Raw genomic sequence first — 20,182 nt, 5'->3', positions numbered from 1 at the left:
GCTAATTTTGTATTTTTACTAGAGATGGGGTTTCTCCATGTTGGTCAGGCTGGTCTGGAACTCCTGACCTCAGGTGATCCGCCCACCTTGGCCTACCAAAGTGCTGGGATTAGAGGCATGAGCCACCGTGCCCGGCCTTAAAATTTTCTTTAATAAACATATTGCTTTTTAATTGGAAAAAATAAAACATTACTTAAAATTAATGCATTAACACAAATAAGACAATCATGTTTTTGTACATGCATTATATTTTATACTGACCCCAGATGACCACATTTTTACTTTTTATAAACACTGACAAACACTCTACAGAATTCTGTAGACATAGAATTTTTCTGAGCAAAATTAAAATCAGTTCTTAGAGTCTCACGAAATTGTACAGAGGATGTAAAACTGAAGTTGAGTAGAATAGCAAGAAGTATTATAGCTCATGGTAAATCTAATTTTCTGAAATTATGACATTCTGTTATAAGAGAATTTCATTGTCAAATATATGGGTTCATCTTATTTTTCTGAAGTTGGAATTTAATCCTGGAGACATTTTGACACAGTATTTTCTTCCTTCCAACTTTTTTTTTCTGTTTATGTTAGCTGTGTTAGAAGTTTCCATACATTCACTACACGGCTTCCTTTAATTAGATGGATTCTCTGTAACCCACAAAAACTGGCTAATAATTGTTTTCCAGACTTCCAGTTACTAAAGCAGTCAGCAGTTGCCTGGGCTCTATTTTGCTTTCATGAAAATGTTACAATGTACTTCAACAACAGTCCAAATCATCCCACCTTCCAAGTGGTTATTCATAAGCAGGGGTCATTATTTCCTTGTTAGACTGTCTTAGGGGTGGGTCTGGTTTCCATGGGCTCTGCACATTCTTCTGATTTGTAAATCAAACCTGAGTTACAAAGATGGACTGCCACCTCCTCCGGGCTCTGCTTAGTGTCACAGGGGTACAGTTCATCAGACAAACACCTCATAAGCATCAGTTCTGGCTGCCTTCCAGGGAAAACCATGTCATGCCATTGAATAACACTTAGGACCCAATCTTTCATCCTCCTCCTCCATAACTAAATAAATTGGGTAAAGGTCTTGCCCTGTCTCAAGATAACAAGAAGTTTAAAGAACTTACTAGTGTTTCATGTTGCAGACACTGTGCTTTAGAGGAGTGAACTAAAACAAGATGGCGGCTTCCCTGAAGTTCAAAGGCAGTTCTGATAGCAAATGAATACTGACAATCCTTCGTGTTTCCCTCATGGGCACAAATAATCCTGCTGAAAACAGGAAGGGGATTTGGATTGAGAGCTGAAAGAAAATGAGCATAGACTTTTCTATTGCTATCCTACTCAGAACCTCATTACATAGAGCAGGGGTCAGCAAACTTTTTCTGTAAAAGACCAGAGGGTAAATATTCTATCCTTTGTGGGCTATACCACTTTCTTCACATCCACTCAACTCCGCTGTTCTAGTGTGACAAAGGAGCCATTGACAATCTGTAAACAAAAATAAGTGTTGATCGGGCTCTAAGAAAACTTTGAAATATGAATTTCATATAATTTTCATGTGTCACAAAATAATATTCTTAGGATTTTTTTTCTTTAACCAAACATTTCCAAGTGTAAAATTCATTCATGTCTCACAGGTGATACCAAAGCAACCATGGGCTGAATTTGCTTCTCCGGTCCCAGTTTGCTCACTCTTGCTCTAGAATTCAGAAGTTCCAGTCCACACATGTGAATCAGATTTTACAGAACCAAGGGCCCTTCTTGGCTCTCTCTGTGTAGTGACAGCTGCTGTTACCATGTAACTATCATCTCACGTGAATAAAGGTGTTTTTCTTTCATTTGAATCTTATCTTTTGTTATTGGAGAAAAGGCTCATTAAACTTTTTAAACTCATTGAATTTAGCAGAGAGTCTTAATTATGTGTGACTCAGGCATTAGGGGAGAATGTGCATAACCGGACCAAATTAAACTGCACAAAATCATGTCTTTCTATTTTAAAAATAGATATTTTGTTTTCAGGTAAAATCCAAGATAGTCTAAAAAGGCAATAGAACTTTAAATGACTGTTTATTCAGTCAATGACTATACAAATAATTGGTAAATGATTTTGAAAACTATTTGGTGACAAAAGAAAACGTTCCCTTTCTAATGCAAGTTGGAATAAATCAGAGTACAAACTGTACATTTATGTGTGTATATATTTTATATAATAGAAAGATATGAATTAAAATGTTAACAACATTTATGGAGATGGTGGAATTAATTCTTTGTGCTTTTTTCCTACTTTTCAAATATTTTGCAATATGGTTACTGCTTGTATTTAGGAAAAAAGAACAACTAATGTTAAAAGAATATCTTTTGCTCCCAATTTTTAAAAGTGTTTTCATGAAGAGACCTATGCCTCTGTAGCAATCTTGGACAAGGGATCATGAAATAATCTGCATGATTCATTGACCACTGGAAGGCTTTGTGATAGCATTGAAGATAACCTTCTGTGAGCTCATAAAAATAATTACCTGAAAGTTGTACAAATTCAGCATTTTTATGACATGCAAATAAAGAAAAGGAAGGAAGAACGTGAGATGACACAAAGTAAGATCTCATAAAAGGGATAGCAATAACTATATGTAAAAAAGAAATAATGGATGTTACTAAGTTCTGTAAAATTTTGGCAGGTCAATAGAATTAAATGAGAAAGAGCTAACAAACCTCCCTCCTTTGCTATTCAAATGATGAACAAAGCACCAATTACTCTCTGGCATGAAAATCTTATTTATATTTATGACCAAAGGTGTTTTTTAAAAGCTTGCCTTCATCATCATTTGTAAGTTTCTTAAAAAATTGGCTGAAGCCAAACAATGAAACTTTCATTCATGAGAACAATGTAACAACAAAAAAAATTCTTCCATGCATTGTTTAGTGGATTTCTTATTTCAAAATTTTTTAAAAAGCAGATCTCAACCCACAGCCTAACCCATAATTCCTACCTATGTATTTATTCCTAGTATATTCTAGACACCACCAGGAAGGGATACATAGGATAGTTTATGTTTTTCTTAATTTAAAGAAAAAGATCTTGAAAGAAGCTATGAGAAAAAAATGCTATATTAAAGATATATTGCTAAGTGTCTAGTTTTAAAAGATCAAATATCAAAATATATTTATTTATGTGGTTCACCACTTCAAGATAAGCAAGTGTATGAGAATAAAAGAGCTAGTGGCTTCTCAGAAGTAAAATAATGACATTTTAGGCATTTGATACCTTTTGGCCTGAAAGCTTCAGACTTGGTCATTAGATGTGGCATGTCAATAATTTTAGAATGAGGATACTAATAGAAATACAACTGAGAGAGGTGTGATTGGGTATATCTTCCCTTCTCTCTCTTTCCCTGCTTCTATTCCATAGAAACCTAGTTTCCTAGTAATCTACTTGACTGACGGACTTGCAAGGGAGAAGAAATTATAGCTGCAGGACCCGTCCACTTTGCTTCACCTTATCAAATGTACTCACCAATTTATGTTCTTAGCACTTTTGCACAGTTTGACAAGAATCAGGACCATTCCATGGCTTTTTGAGCACTCCTGTCTCTTGGGATGGTGACCTTCTATCTTGACAATTCAGATCTAGTCACCAGTACCACCCACAGGCCACTGACAGATTTTCAGCCTGCTCCAGGTGAATGAAGAGGGAATGTGATTGCAGACTTTGGTTTTTACTCCTCTACATTCTGATTCAAAAATGTACTTTAACATTCAAAACTCATCTGCAAAAGATTCAACTCCCCATCATTAGCTGCTGATTAAAAGCTTATAATAAATGAAGGAGATGGATGCCATGTGTGGATGATATGCCCCTGTCCCTTCTAGTTGGGGACATACCAATGGACTCACTAAATTTATGAAGCTATGTATGAGCGCTAAGTGAGTTCTACAGAAAGCATTCTTAAAAATTGAAGACTTCATAATTTGGCAGAGAGAGTAATGGGAGACTTTGTAGAGGAACTAAAATGTGAGTCAGACCTTAAGGATGAGTAAATTTGGATGGGTACACAGAAGGAGAGGCAAGAGAACCTAATGACCTGTGTTGATGACTACTATTACATTGTATCTGAGGGCCTCTGTGGCTTCTGCCAATGCTGTCCCATTCTGTTCTCATTAGATGAGGAAGCTGAAACTCAAAGAATATACAGTTTTCCAAAGATTGCACAGCTAAGAAATATGGAAAGATGGACTCAAGCTCAGATTTGCCTGATTCTGAAGCTTACATTCTTTTCGGTGCACTGAACTGTATCAGAATGTTTTTTAGAATGCAGACTGACATGAGCAAGAGTGAGGCAGTGTGAATAAACATAAGCTTCAGGATAACAGAGCTTCCTTCCTGGAAACAATGGTTGGGATGAAGCAGCAAAAAAAAATTTTTTTTCTAGGAAGAATTTCAAGATGAGATTCCACCTGCTTAACAAGCATTTGTCAAACCTGAAATTATTTTCTGATTGCAAAAGTATTCCATGTTAATTGTAGAAAATTAGAAAACTATAGAATCACCAGCTAAAATCAACCAGAACTAGCCATTGTTAATGTTCTAGTGTATCATCTTCCAATCTTTTCATAATTTTTCTCCAAATATATACACATTTATGTATATATTAGCTTTATAAAATTAAAATTTTGCTTTCTTTGTATTTTGATGTCTGAATTAGTAATATATCACAACCATACTCCATTTCTTCTATATTCTTTGGAAACATTTTAAATAAATATAGAATATTGCATCCTATAAGTTACCATAGTTTATTAAACTTCTATTATTGAATGTTGACGTTATTTCTAGTTTTTCTTAATTATAAATAATGTCTATTTTATCTTATAAATCATTTATCTCTGATTTTTCCTGAAAAAACAATTTTTTAAACAAAATTTCAGCTTGGCTTATTTCCCATTATATAGGAAATTTAAATCAAAATTTAAATTGTATGTTATCCTACGAACTGAAGCTCAGGTCAGACTCCTGAGGGGATAAACCAACATCCTAGCAGAGGTTTGACTCAATTATCGTCATGACTTTAGGAAGTTAAACTCTTCCATATCAGAGAGAGGAGTGGAGGCAGAGAGGTTGAAGGAGAGATTGAGGAAGAGGGGACAGAATAAGAAAGAGAGAAACACTGGTTTTCTTCCCTCAGGAATCGATTACCCGTTCTCCAGGTAGGCAAATTTTATTTTATTTTATTTTATTAAAAAGATCAGACTCCATGGTGGTCCTGAGGGGAGGTAGAAAAGACTCTTTAGACTGTGTCCAAGTGGCTGTTTTCTTTTTTACAGCCTAGTAACATCATAATGATGGATTTCTCCATTTGGGAGCATCACGCAGTGAAGGAAACCACCTGGGCTTAAATCCCAGTTACTCAGTTTCACAGCTCTGTGGCTTTAGACAAGGCCTTTAATTTCTCTCAATCTCAGCATCCACAGGGTAAAAGGAGATAGGAATGCCAACTAAAAATCTTTGGATCCTGACAATTAAATCAGATTACACAGCATCAGCCAATCGCAAACAACTAGCTCTTTCCCCCTCCCTTTCTTCCACGCTTCTGCTCACTGAGAGCAATAATTTTTTTTCTTTTCTTTAGATTTCTTCATTGTAAAAAGCAGAGTTCATTCACTCCAAAAAATTTTAAATCTCTTGGCACTGAGAATTCAAAGCATTGTCCACGCCCTTACAGAAATCACAGTCCAGTGAAAACTACAGAAAAGCTAACATGAATTACAAGATCAAGAGAGAGAGACGTTGGTACAAAGTCATGTGTTCCCAAATAAAGGAGGGCCGAATTTATTGGAGAAAGGGGATCAGGGAAGTAACCCTTGATGAGGTCTTACAAGATGAGCACTTGCTCACCAAGCAGGGGAAGGAAAGTGAGCATTCTTGGCATGGGGTAACTCTTACCCTGTGGTAATGAGGAGAGGGTTAGTGGTCAGCAGAAGGGCCTTTAACAGAAGCTAGAAGTTGTCAAGAAATGCCACTTCCTCTGCAGAACCCTTTCTGGTTCCTTATACAGGAAACCCTCTACCGCCTTAGCACTTTAATTGTACCACATCTGTGGATGTCTTTGACATTTACTACTTCCTGCTTTGCATTGGAGATATTTTTGTACATATTTTACTTTCATTATACCACTAGAGAAACAAGAGACTGTTTTATCCTTTAATCCTGGTATTACCTGTAGTACCTTCAACTTTATATATATATATATATATATATATATATATATTTATTTATTTATTTATAATACGATTTATTCATTTTAAAGGTTCCCAAAGTGTCCCCATTTAGGGGGTCACATTAGACACTTTGTCCCTCAGCCTTTGGGTTTAACACCCTTCAATCAGTGGACTGTAGTTGATTTCAAGTCAAATCTGCCAAGAAGACTGTTAATATTCACCTCATGATCTTGGTTATTATGGGTAGTAATATAAGCGATACTATATTACAATAATATCATTTACAACGGCTTACATTTATTGAACATTTACCATGGCCAGGCACTTTGTAAACACTTTGTCAATACTAACTGAATTAACACTCAAAGTAATTCAATGACATGGTTACTATTAGCATTCTCATTTAATAGATGATAAATTGGAGGAGAGAGAAGTTAAATATTTGTTACTTGCCCGCAGATCACACCTGGTAAGTGAGGGACCCTGAATTCAGACCAAAAACGATGTTGCTGTGGAATCTAGGCATGTATTCTTTATTCCATTTCATTAATCCTTGAAACGACCCAATCAGGAAGACATTATTGCTCCCATTTTATAAACAAAGTGCAGAGAGTTTAAGTGACTTGCCCAAGTCCACACATTGAAAATTGGAAGAACTAGGCCGGGTGCGGTGGCTCACGCCTGTAATTCCAGCACTTTGGGAAGCCGAGGCAGGTAGATCACCTGAGGTCAGGAGTTCAAGACCAGCCTGGCCAACATGGCAAAACCCCATCTCTACTAAAAAAATACCAAAAATTAGCCAGGCATAGTGGTGGGTGCCTGTAATCCCAGCTACTCAGGAGGCTGAGACAGGAGAATCACTTGAACCTGGGAGGCGGAGGTTGCAGTAAGCCGAGATCACGCCATTACACTGCAGCCTGGGCAACAAGAGAGAAACTCCATCTCAAAAATAATAATAATAATAAAATAAGAAAAGAAAAGAAAATTGGTAGAACTAGGATTTAGAGCTCAATCTGTCCAACTCTAAAGCCCAAGTATAGGACTCTAGGCTCCCTATTCCTGTTTAAGTTTTAAAAACCTGCTGGTTATAAGTGTATGGTATCTTCTATGTACCTATGGGCATTATCAGGCGATAGTTTTCTAGGATGAGGGAGAAGTAAATAAGGTGGTATCCAAACACTAGTATTTTATTCATTGAGACCAACTGAAGCAGGATTTGATGACTGTATGAGTGAATTAATTTCAGGTTATTTGAGATATTAGGAACATTTCTTACTGATCCACTGCTCTGCCGTGAAAACCATAGCAATTTACCATATTTAGTTATGGTCCATTCTTGAGGCTATGGTTTAGGGACAGAAGGGGTCAAGAATACAGGTAAAATAATGAGAAGGAAATGTTCTAAAGGACTACAGATCTAGCGTGCCGTAGGTAAGAGCAGGATCTTCTTTTGGAATACTGAATTGATATAAGTCAAAGACTAGGAAAACCAAATATGCCTTCATGTTCAGAATCAAGGTTGGTGTGGGTGCCAGAGACCACAGGCCAAGGCAATTAGACCCCTCCTTGGGTTTGGTAGGAAGTGGAGATGTAAGTAGCTCCTGGTTATGACCTCAGGGTTTGTGTTCAATAGGAAATATGTGATAAATGAGTGTCAACAAATTGACACCAGTGAATTCATTGCTTAGAGACACCTAAGTGGACAGCTTCTTGTTTGGTTATGATGGTGATCATGTTTATACTCCACCAAATATCTTGGAGTTTTGAAAATGGCCTGGTGAATTTGCTGACCACAGCAAACTTCTGCTAATTACCCTGAAGTATCTATCTCATGTTTATCTTTCCTTCAATTAAATCATCATACATCACTTAACGTCAGGGATATATTCTGAGAAGCATATCGTTGGCTATTTTGTCGATGTGTGAACATCATAGAACGTCCTTACACAAATGTAGATGGCATAGCTGACTACACACCTAGGCTGTATGGTATGGCCTTTTCTCCTAGGCTATAAACATGTACAGCACCGTATGCAATTGTAACACAATGGTAAGTATTTGTGTATCTAAACATATCTAAACACAGAAAAGGTACAGTAAAAATCTAATCTTATAATCTTATATGACCACTGTTGTTTATGCAATCCATTGTTGACTGAAATGATGTTATGCAGCCCATGACTGTATATGATAAAATTGTCAAGTTATCATTTTATTCCCTGAGGTACCAAAAAAGACTTAGCAGAATGCATAATGCAAGGTATGATTCCTTATCTATTTTGAGGATGAAACCAGTGATGTGTGTTTATTTATAGGTTGTTCTTACAATTGTCCCTCTTAAATGAAACCTGACAATTGGAAGGACCTGCAAGAAATGACAATGAGTGCTCCTAAATAAATAAGGTTGTATGGAAGCAAGGGACTTTCTTCCCAAGTACATAACTGAAATTGACAAAGCAGTCACACTTTGCTTTGTAACCATCAACAACTAGTTATACAGCAAATAATCCCTTAACAACCTAATTATATATTCCTGTTGCTTATATTAAATTATTGAACAGTTCAGAAGGCAGTTATTTTGGTTAGATTGGCAGGTAGGGTAGTTAAACTCTTAAACCTGTAACTGGTTTATTGAGTAAGTTAAAATTGGATATGAAACAAAACAGGTTCGATTTTGTTGATTGTGATTTTATTTCATTTTCCATTCCTGACCTTCAACCATGTTATGTCGGAATCCCGTTTCACATTAAAAAAAAAAATACCTTGGCACTATCCTACAGCTTTCCAGTCCCTCACAGATATAAAACTAAATTTAGCCTATTTTTAAATTAACGTCTCGTATTGGTTTTAAATTTCTTCTACTCCTTTCCACCAATGGCTTCTAGAAAAGACTAGACCCTAGCTGCTTGGGTTAGAAAAGGGAGAAAAGAGTTTTCCTCTACCATCTCATTCTTCTCCCTGTTCTTGGTCAAGCTCTTCTGGCGCTCCTGGTCTGACTGAGACCAGGAAGAATTGAAAGCACATTTGGCTTCCCCTGTCCTTGAATGACCTTCTAGTGTTGAAGGGAGGATGTCAAGCACAAGGGAGAAAGAAGAAGGATTTATCTAAATTGCTGGGTCAGGTTGGGGCAGAGTCTTTGGCTTCACTGATTCTCTTCAGCAACTATCACTCATGATGTAGGCTTTCTCCCTGAGTTGGTGGAGCTTAACCACCTACACCTTTTTCTGAAGATCTGCACATTCCTTTGACATCTCCAGAAGTTTTTATCCCCCTCCGGATTAGCCTAGCAGCCTTCTGACCCATTTAATCTCCCTACTTTCTCAGGTGGAAACATAAGAACCACCGAGTCCTCTTTGCACACTCTGAGGGCCAAGGAAACCACTGGAGGGTAAAGAGAAAAGATTCCTCCATCATCTTCCCAGGTACATTTCACACCACAGCCCCAGCAGCCCCACCCTCATAGGGCAATCTGACTGGCTTCCCAGTAGACTTCTTATGTCTGATGTCCTCTTTTGACCAATCTTGGGCACAGTCTTAATGGACACTTCACTTAGAAACTCAAATAAGCACATGTCAAGTCTTGCAAAACTCCCCCTCATCACGATCCTCTTCTCTGTCATGGCAACACTGAAATGTGCTGCAGCTTCTTGGCTCCAGCATGCATCTAGAGGGAGAGCAAGAAGTCAGTTTCCCTTTGTCAAAGGGGCCCCCAAGCTCTACATGTTATTTTCTTGAAGTCCTCATTCTGGCCCTCCGTTAACTTTGGAATGAACAGGAATTAGTCTCTTCCCATGAACATGCATTCCTCAAAGAGCTGAGAGAGTTTCTTCACCATGATACCCTCTGTTGGTAGACAAGAAATAAGATATGAAGCTGAGAATGGGTGATCAATGGCCACCGATCTCCATTCACATCACTTGGGGAAGATGACTGGGCCCGCCTGTAGGTGCCTCATTGGTGTCTTGAGACAGACTATAAGGTTCCAGTGATTCTTCCTTTTTGTAGGTTCTCATTGTTGATTTCAGGGAAATCTGAAAAGTTAAGACCCACTATGTATATACAGGAGCTAACCAGGATGTGTTTTGTTTGCAGGGGCCAAATGGATACTATATGACTCCCACTTCTCCTTTCCACTGCATCATCTGTCATCTGAAAAGGGAATACGTTTAGAATCAACAGAATGTTGGTGCCAGAAGGGAGTTGCCAACAATCCTCTATCAATTAGTAGTAGAAGTGGAACACTTTTCCTCCTTGTTTTAGCCTGAGTTCTTTCCAGTTGCAGTCATGCCTTTAACCACAATATCCATTTGTGATCTTGGATTTGTCTTGTTTCTAATATTTGAGGGACAGAGGCGGGGAAAGAAGCAAATGAGGTTACCAGAGCTGGTTTTGTTTTCAAGGGTCAAATGGGTACCGTGTCACTTCTACTTCTTCTGCCCACTCCATCCCTACTTCCGGAAGACCAAGTGTATTTTCTCCTTCTTCCCCTCAAGTGTCCTCTAGAGTTTTCCACACTGCTTCTTAATACACATAGCTCTGCTTCTTGCTCCTTACTGGAAATAGGCTCAGTGCTGACGGGATCTGACCTATTGGTGGGTGGAGGGGAATGAAAGGTCAAAACTGCATTTGACCCTTTGTTCCACAGACTTACTTCATAGCCGAGCAGTCACATTTTGATTTAAACTTCTTTTTTTCTAGGCTCTAGATCGGTTCCTTACCTTGGAGCATGCCCCCTTTACTGATCTCATACATTTTTATTTTATTTGATGCTTCATGTTATGCTTGGATTATAGAACTTCCATTCGGTAAAGGTTCTGTAACAAATTGTTCTTTTGTACAACTGCCAGATATCTCAGACTAAAAACATATTGGGGGGAGAAAGCCAGATAAAAAATTAAATGAAGGCAAAATTAGAGGCCTGCTAATAAAATCAGATTTTCTTGACACTTTTAGTCAATGCAAAAATAATTGTGGGAATATAAAAGGTTTTTTATGGTCAATTATTCTTGTCTTAGTAAGTATCTATAATCATAATCCCTCAGAATAGGTAATAATCCTCTGCAGAGGGAAGTGAGACTTCCCCACAGAACCATAAGGAAAGTAAAACGTTATCATATGCATGCATAAAATATATTAATATTGAAATGTGCTGGCTGTAAGGTCAGGTGGGGAAATAGCTTTTTTTTCCGCCCTGAAAAAAAAATATATATATATATATATATATATAAACTATCTGACTTTATTGGGCTGCTGACATCCAATTGATCTGCATTATTCTTAGCTGGCAAGAGCCTATATACCTAAATGCCTCAGATAATAGGTATTACAGTATTAGGTAAAAAGCCTCCATGCAGTCTATAGCAAATATCAAAAAGGTAGAAAGTGTAAAATAAGGGAGATTAAGATGACACCAGAAAGCGTTGAATGAGGTGTCATTTTGCATTTAGAAAGACAACCAGGAAAGTTAAGACAGAAGAAAAAAAATGCCCCTTTCTCACTAGCTGCCCTTAAAGGTTTACAAATGATCTGTTAACAGAAATGAGTTTCTCTTGGGCTTCAGACACCATTTATTACTCTGGGAGAGAGACAAAAAAGGAGATGGAAAAGACTGGCAAATTATGCTTATTTGAAGGCAAAATGCTTCCCATCAGCAACATGATGAAAATGTACCAAAGGTGTCAGCCAGATGTTGACATGTTAATATTTTTCATGAGGTCTTTCACTGAGGAATGAGTACAAAGAACTTTTTGGGTGTTCTTTAGAATATGAATTGAAATGCATTGCTATGCTAGCTGCCTTGCCTGGGAAATCACGATCGTATTTGATGATGAAGAGGAAGAGGAAGTGTGTCCTAAATAGGGGGCTTGAACCTCGATTCCCTGGCTGCCTCCCAGATGTCTTGTGCTACGAATGGGCTCATCTGATCTCTCCTAGTCAATTTCATTCTGGAAAGTAGCCAGTGGGCCTAGTTCACGACCCAGTGATGTCATTATAATTCATTCTCCCTCACCACAAAGACTTCGGAACTTTCCAATTTACAATGGGTCTTTTTAATAAAGAAGAGAGTCATGTACAGAATTTTTAAGTGTTTCTAATGATTTATCTTTTTTTTTCTTGTTATAGCCTCAAAAAGGCCTATCTTCTTTGTATGAATGGACTATCAAAATCATTTAAAGAATTTTATATCTTTGTTAAAGTACACGATGTGTTTTATGGGCTGAAAGGGGATAACTGAAGCTTATTATAAGAGAACATTGTGTCCGAACAGAGAAACTTTACATTTTATGCATAAAGAATAGAGGATCTAAAATTTCATATGACTTAGGCCATGCTTCATCATGAACACTTACAAAGTAATTCTAAGTAGGAAATATGCCATTTTTAGGGATGTATTCTGTGTTTTGAGACTGGATTTATAAGATGAGGGAGGGGCTGGAGGCTGAGAGAGACATATGTAAGTCATTTCAGAGCACAGGCTGTATCATCCATGTGTTCTCTCAACACCTCTCATGGGCTGTAAGGAAATATTCACTGATGAAGATTACATATGAATTGAACTCAGCATTGGAGAGTTAGGGCCGTCTCCCAGAACCTCACCTCCTTGCACTTGGCTTACCCTCCTTGCTAAAATAAACTTTGCTGGATGACGTCACTTATCCTTGGCATGGATCTTTAAAATCCTGGGTAGTACAAGCCTAGTGGATGATCAATGCATTTGTGGCCTGCACTGTAATTTAACTTGCTCTGTCTGACAGGAGATGTGGAATAGCTAAAGAGAGGCTTTACTTGTAATCTTCTTATCGCCTTATCCTGGAGTGTTTGTGAAGAGCAAGGCCTTCCCTACACTAACTCCCAGCTGAGGGTTAAGGCTAAGAAAGAGAAATTGCCCTGTTATGTGTCTGATGGTGTGACCTGACAAAGCCCTCTCTGGATACCTTGTGAACCCTGGCCTTTCATGGCCAAACGCACCTTGCCTCTCCTGAACCACTTGTTTGTGTTCTGTGAGCTGATTAACAGAAATAACTTGCTATAATTATGATGTGCTGGGAGAGAAAAAAAATTGTACTCTTTTCTTACCGTTTCTTTTTTTTTTTTAATTTTCTTTCTCGTTTTTTTTTTTTTTTTTTTGAGACAGAATCTTGCTCTGTCACCCAGGCTGGAGTGCAGCAGTGTGATCTTGGCTCACTGCAGCCTCTGCTTCCCAGGTTCAAGTGATTCTCATGCCTCAGCTTCCTGAGTAGCTGGGACTGCAGGTGTGCACCACCACACCCAGCGATCCTGTTTCTTTTCTAAAGCATAGAATTCTAAATTAGATCATCATCCTTAGACCACTACTAGCAAGAGACCGTGAGTGAGCAGAGGGAGGTGGCCAGACCAGCGCAGGCTGGACAGGAGACAGGGAACACCTTACCATGGAAATGGTATAGAAACGGACAAGACTGACAGAAAGAGTGGGGGGGTGGAGGAATATAAAAAAGGAAAAAAAAAAAAGAAAAGGAGGCAGAGTGAGAGAAGGAGAGAGAGGGAGAGAGAGGGAGAGAGAGGGAGAGAGAGGGAGAGAGAGGGTCTTAATGAGAAATACACACAAGTGGAGGAGCTCAGGAGAAAAGCAGCTCAGGGTGTGGCAAAATGAAGGAGGGTGGCATGCAGACAGAGGGCTTCCTGGAGAGGGGGACACTCACCTTTCCACAAGGCAGTTTTCCTGTTTTTACAGAAAGCTGAGCAAGAGTAGACAGCTTGTCTGTCTCAGGTGCTCCAGGGCCAGCTAATTCACACTTTTCCTGATGACTTTGAGGAACGTAAAACTCTTTAGTGTAAGCACTCTGCGAATCTGATCGAGGGAAACACTCTTGCCACTTTCCTTCCGGGGATCAGATTCTGGCTATGTTAGTGGGACAGTTAGTTACATAAGCTAGCAGTCACAACCAAGGAGAAAATGCCTTATCACGGCCATAAATAGGAAGAGCTGGGAAGATCCAGAGGGGACATGTGACAAGCTTTATGGAGGAGATATACAGTGATGAGTATTGTGACGCACTAATTACAAGAAAGGAAATGATTTCTGTGACAAAATTAATAAGAGTTGCTGCTATTTTTTATAGGTCCCTTAATGGGCATATGCCTTCTGTAAATATGTTTGGATGCATATGGATAGTAAATATATGTGTATGTGTGTAGGTATGAAAATATGTATGGTCCAATAAATGTCGAATGCTCACAGAATCCCTCAAGGTAAATAATATTATTATTATTCCAATTTTATAGCGGAGAATATTTCTAAAGCTTAGAGAGCTTGCAAAACGTATCCAAGAATACATGCCCACATATTTATAAAGTTTGATAATGATAGATTGGATTAAAAACTTGCAACTATTATCTACAGGTTACGTGATATATATGACCAGAATGAGAAAGAAGGAAAAAAAAGGTGTTAAGTGAAGGGAGATATGAATGGAAGATTTGTTGGAAACTAGCTCAGTAAACACTTCATATGCTGTTTATAGAAAACTATATTGTATCTTATAACAGCTAGAGAAATAGGGGAGGTTTCTGGCCGGGAAGTAATATGATTAGATCTATATTTGTGAAAAGTAAGAGGTAATTGATTAGTGAAGGGATGATAATTCAGATAGGACGTTGATGGTAACAGGCCAAGCAAAGCATGGTATGCACTGAATAACCCATAGCAACAAATGTGGTGGCTATGAAAAACAAATATGGGGATAGTATTTTTTATAAAAATACAATTAACCAACTACTTTCTATGTATAAGGGTATTTAAGTTTTCCTTTTTATTTCTACACTATGCCTTATTTTTCAGGAAAACAAAGATTAGATTGGGCATTTTTAAGATGATTATTCTGTATCTTCTTCCAAGTTTCAAGGACAGCAAATCTTTTTCTCACCACTTATCTACAGAAATTTACAGGCACAACAGAGAATGTTTGAACATAAAGTTATACTGAGGCTTAGACACAATTTATTTCATGCTCCATATAAATTTATTTCACCAAATTGAGAGCCTTAGAAAGGAAAAGGCCATGTACTTTTGTCCCTCCCATTACCAGGAGCTTTCCAAGAGCTAACGTCTGCTATATCCATCTTTTGGCTTTGACGGTAGATGTTTTAAGCTGGCAGGAGGATTAAGAACAAACTTAATAAAAAAGCACTTAAGAATATGCCTTTAGAGTTAAGCAAATATTGGGCTGAGGCCTGATTTTGCCACTAATTACGTAACTTCGGACAATTTACCTGACTTTCTAAATCTGGGGGTTCCTATTCGGAAAATGTGGATAAATGTGGTTCCTACCATATCAGGTTGTAGTGGAGTTAAATTAGATTCATACAAGCCTCTTTCTGCAGTACCTGACAAGCAATACGTGTTGAATACTTGCATCCAGTAACATGTACACACTGAACACTGAATGTACACAAAACACACCAATGAGAGAATGGAAGGTAAAAAAGTGGAGACGATAGAAATGAAAAATTATTTCAAGATTGACCATGAGGACGTGCAGAGAGAAGCAGTAACTAAAAGGGAGACATCAATGCAAGGCTTTATTTTTTAAGATGGGGAAAATGAAGAAACTTTTTATGCTGATGGAAATGATTAAATAAAGAGGGAGAAATTGTAGAGGTAGGACAGAAGAGTGATAATCAGAAGAGAAGCTCTTGCTACTAGGAGAATAATTTGTCTTTCGTAGGCATAGACACAGCCCCCACACTCACCCACACTTCATAATAGGAGAGGAGAAGAAAAGCATGAGTGAAGACAGGCATAAATTGCACTCGCTTGTTGGTAGGTGAGAGAATGCCCAGAAAACGAGAATGTTTCCTCAATGAAGTGTGAGGTGAGGCCATCAACTAAGAGTCAGGATGAACAGAGGTAGGAAGTTGTTTGTTTTTTTTTTTTTGAGACTAAGTCTTCCTCTGTCTCCCAGAGTGGAGTGCAGTGGAGCGATTTCAGCTTACTGTAAGCTCTGCCTCCCTGGTTCAAGCCATTCTCCTGCCTCAGCCTCACGAGTAGCTGGGATTACAGGCGCCCACCAAAACTAAGCCACATCCAGCTTAGTTTTTGTATTTTTAGTAAAGAGGGAGTTTCATCATTTTGGCCATGCTGGTCTTGAACTCCTGACCTCAAGTGATCCGCCTGCCTCAGCCTCCCAAAGTACTGGGATTACAGGCACGAGCCACCACACCCAGCAAGGTAGGAGTTTTAAGGAGAAAGGAAAGAAATGAAGTAATCATTCAGAGAAGAGGAAGAGCCAGATACATGCAGAGAAGGCCTGAGCAGTGCCCAGTGCCTGGCTGAATTTCGTGATTGTGTACTTAACTGGCAGCCATTCAAGCTATGTGTGAAATTTCCTCCAGGAAAATCTCCTTAAAGGGGTTGAAAGAAAGAAAAAGGGGCTTCCTGGTTGGTTTACCTAGAACGGAGATTCTACTACCTGACTGAGAGAATAGGAGACAGGAGAGAGGGAAACAGTGATATTTGCAAGGAGACGATCACACTTGAAGGCCATGGAATGCAAGATAAAATAAAACAAGAAGAGTTGATAGATCAATAGTGCAAGATCACTGAAACAGAGGTCTTAGGGATATGGGAAAATTATAGTGCTGGAGGTTGCTGAGCAAAGTCAACTGGAAAAACACAATTTGTGTTTGGAGAGCAAGATTTTTGAATTTGAGATTTAGGAGGTGGAACAGGACCTGCTGATACTGAGGCTTAGGGTGTGACCCTGGGATTAGCCAACCGTGACAAATTAGAGGAAAAGGTGAACTGGCGATTAAGAGATCAAGAAACTAAGAACCTTTGGAGCTAGATGGGTTCATTCTCATGGATATAAAAATTGCCAGGAATACTAAGTAGCACATATAAGGTGTTTACTATGCATCAGTGTTCTAAGAGTTTTATCTGTACTCTTTGATTCCTAGCATTTAAGGCTGCTACTCCTAGTATCATCTCTACTTTATAGCAAAGAGAGCTTAAATAATTTTCCCATGGCAACACAATTAGCAATGATAGAGGTGGGCTGAAACAGAGGTTCCAGAACCTGGTCTTGTATTGACCACACTGAATTTTCTAGAATTATAATGATAGTAGGGATGTGGAAAGTGAAATTATAATCCAGGTTCCAAAATTTTTAGTGAATTAGGGTGCAAGGTCAGGATATCTGTAGGAAAAAAAAAAAAAAAAAAAAGGAGAGGGTGAAGAGTCAGTTCCGGAAATTTTAGAAGAGCCTGGAGGGATGATGGTAAAAAGAAGAGTGACCACAATTCTGCCACTGAAGAATTTGAAAATGAGAAAAAAAAAAATCTTTTTTTTTTTTAAGAGAATGCAGAGGGGACAGTGTCCTCAAGATCCGTTCTGTTTCTACAAAACCTGACTTAATTGGGTGGATGGAAACTGCAGGACATTAGCATTTTTTTCAATCTCTCCCCATGAGCTTAATGTGCATGCTCATTTGGGAATAACTGAAGAAAGTGAAGGAAAGAAGAGAATTTTCTGAAAAACAGAAGATAAAGAATTTTCTGGTCATAAAATGAGAATTCCAGTATGCTAAGTGGAGATGTTTGAGAAAGAAGGAAAGGCAGTCATTAATGTTATTGGTGCCATTGGTATGTGTATCTTTGAATAACTTCCTTTTCCATTCCTTGATTTTATTTTTACTTGACAACAATGGTTCAGTCTGATTGCATTATTCTTTTATTGTGAGCATCTAAAACTATATTTGGTAGGAAAGGAATGGGATGTAAATATTTTAAAAAGTAATAAGAAGATTAGGAAATATAGCTTATTGTTAACTGGTGTCAAGAGGGTGAGTTTTAATCTATTTAGGCAGTGGCTTGGGCCGAGTTTACAATGTCATATGCCGGCACCTTTCTTTGAGTTTTCCTCTCTCAGATGCTTATTGTCCCATATAACTATAAAAACTGACTTTACTTAAACAAAGATTTAGAGAAAAAAATGAAGGAAGAAGAAAAAGAAGGAAGGAAAGGAAGGATGGATGGAAGGAAGGGGGGAGGGAAGGAGGGAAGGAGGAAGGAAGGAAGGAAGGAAGGAAGGAAGGAAGGAAGGGGGAAAAGTGAAAAGATAGTAATCAAAAGAAGAAATTGAGCAAATCCTTACATGGCAATACCAAATGGAATGAATTGAATGGCAAGCACAGGCATAGGAAGAAGGATAGTCCAAGATTACTCATTGGCCTAATAGGAAGAAATAAGAAGTAAAATCAAGCTGTTTTCTGAAACTTGAGTGTGTAGATATAATCAAATGATGATATCTTTTTATATGTAGTATCTGAACATTGATGATCCTTAAAGAAATAGTTGGAATTAAAATCCTTTTCAAAAAGCTATTAAGAAATACTTTTATTGTCTCAATTATGAAATGCCAGTTCATAAACTTATTTCTGATTATTTTTGAGGAATTAATTGTATTGTAAGAATAGGGAAATTATAACATCTTGGAAATAGTCACTTACTACAGATGCCTGAGTTTGTTGGCCAAATATAAATTCTACATCTGGGTTCAAAACCTCAGTTGCACAAAAATAGCATGATTTGACTTCTAAGTAGTGTATGTGTCAGCTGGATAACTATATAAGTAAGCAAAAGGGACTTGGCCAAATAAAGATGACCCAGAGGAAGGAGGAGTATAATCCTGCCTATCTGTGGGCTCTTCCAGTCTCACTTGTAGAAGAGGGTTCTATTCAGAACTTTGGGGGTCATTGATGAGCTTGGGCACACAGAAGATAACCATTGTAAATTTTTTTCTTGGTTAGAAGACAACTTAAATAAATATAATAATAATCTTCAAAATGTTGGTTGTCTGTTGTATGCCATCCTAAAAAGGATTGTTAACAATTATTTTGAGAAGGGCAACTTTTAGCTGTCTGTTTGGAAGAAGGTTCAAATAACTGGAACTTTCCAAAGATAAAATGGACCATTATAGCAGACAATGCATTCCCTTTAACAGGAAATACTTATCTTAACTGTAGGTAATCACTTAGACCCACAGACAAAGAGATCTGGGTATCAGCTGGGAAGAAAAAAATAACAGCTGGTAATTGCTGAGTACTTACTAAATGCCAGGCACTGCTATCTGTACCATCTCATCTATCCCAATAATCAGTCATCCTTTGAGGTTGATTATATTCTTTGTATCTTATGGATATAAACTATAAAGCCAAGAAAATCGCTAATAAATGACACAGACAGGATTGAACTCCAAACTTTTAATAACCATCCTATACTGCTTCTTAAGGAAGTAACAGTGGAAGACTTCCAAGGTCAGATTAAACTCTAATGATCATTGATTTTGGAAGTCACACTTCAAGGGTTTAGAGTAGTGGTCTGGAATTAGACCAGGGTTCAAATCTGGACTGAGTTTACAATGTCATGTGCCAACACTTTTCTTTTGACTTTTCCTCTCTCAGATGCTAACTACAAAAACTGACTTTATTTAAACCAAGATTTATAGAAAAAAAAATGAAGGAGGAAGAAAGGAAGGGGAAAAAGAAACACAGTAATCAGTAGAAGAAACTGAACAAATCCTTACATGGCAAGAACAAATGGAATGAACTGAATGGCAAGTACAGGCATAGGAAGAAGGATAGTTCAAGATTATTCATGATTATTCATTATTCCTAGTTATTAATGACTAACCTTGAGTGATATACTTGAACTCTCTGAAGTTTATTGTCTTCATCTGTAAACTTGAGGTCACAATGTTTCATTCACAGGACTGTAAGAATTAAATAAGATAATGCATACAGCTTTTAAGCACAATGCCTGGCACTAGTTATAACCTTGACAAATCGTAGCTATTTTTAAGTGTTCCAAGACATAAGATATTATTAGAATGGTATTTTGCACTACATGTTGCAATCCTAAATTTTAGCATTAGAATATTTTTAAAAATTTTATTGGGTTTAGACGAGGTTTAAATCCTCTGTGAGAATAA

The 20,182-nt window shown here is 37.8% G+C and overlaps 1 long non-coding RNA gene across 2 annotated transcripts in view; it reads right to left on the bottom strand.

The window, feature by feature from the left end:
• Nucleotides 1–19,971, bottom strand: part of LINC00924 (long intergenic non-protein coding RNA 924) — a 74,755-nt gene extending 54,784 nt beyond the window's left edge. For both annotated transcript variants that reach the window (NR_027132.1, NR_027133.1), the window contains exons 1-2: nucleotides 19,885–19,971; nucleotides 1,128–1,269 (exon numbers count right to left, since the gene is read on the bottom strand). This is a non-coding gene — a long non-coding RNA (long intergenic non-protein coding RNA 924). The remainder of the gene's footprint in view (nucleotides 1–1,127; nucleotides 1,270–19,884) is intronic.
• Between the last annotated feature and the right edge of the window lie 211 nt (nucleotides 19,972–20,182).

Source organism: Homo sapiens, chromosome 15 (assembly GCF_000001405.40).
Source record: "Homo sapiens chromosome 15, GRCh38.p14 Primary Assembly".
NCBI classification, from domain to species: domain Eukaryota; kingdom Metazoa; phylum Chordata; class Mammalia; order Primates; family Hominidae; genus Homo; species Homo sapiens.
This window is presented reverse-complemented; position numbering and strand designations above follow the sequence as displayed.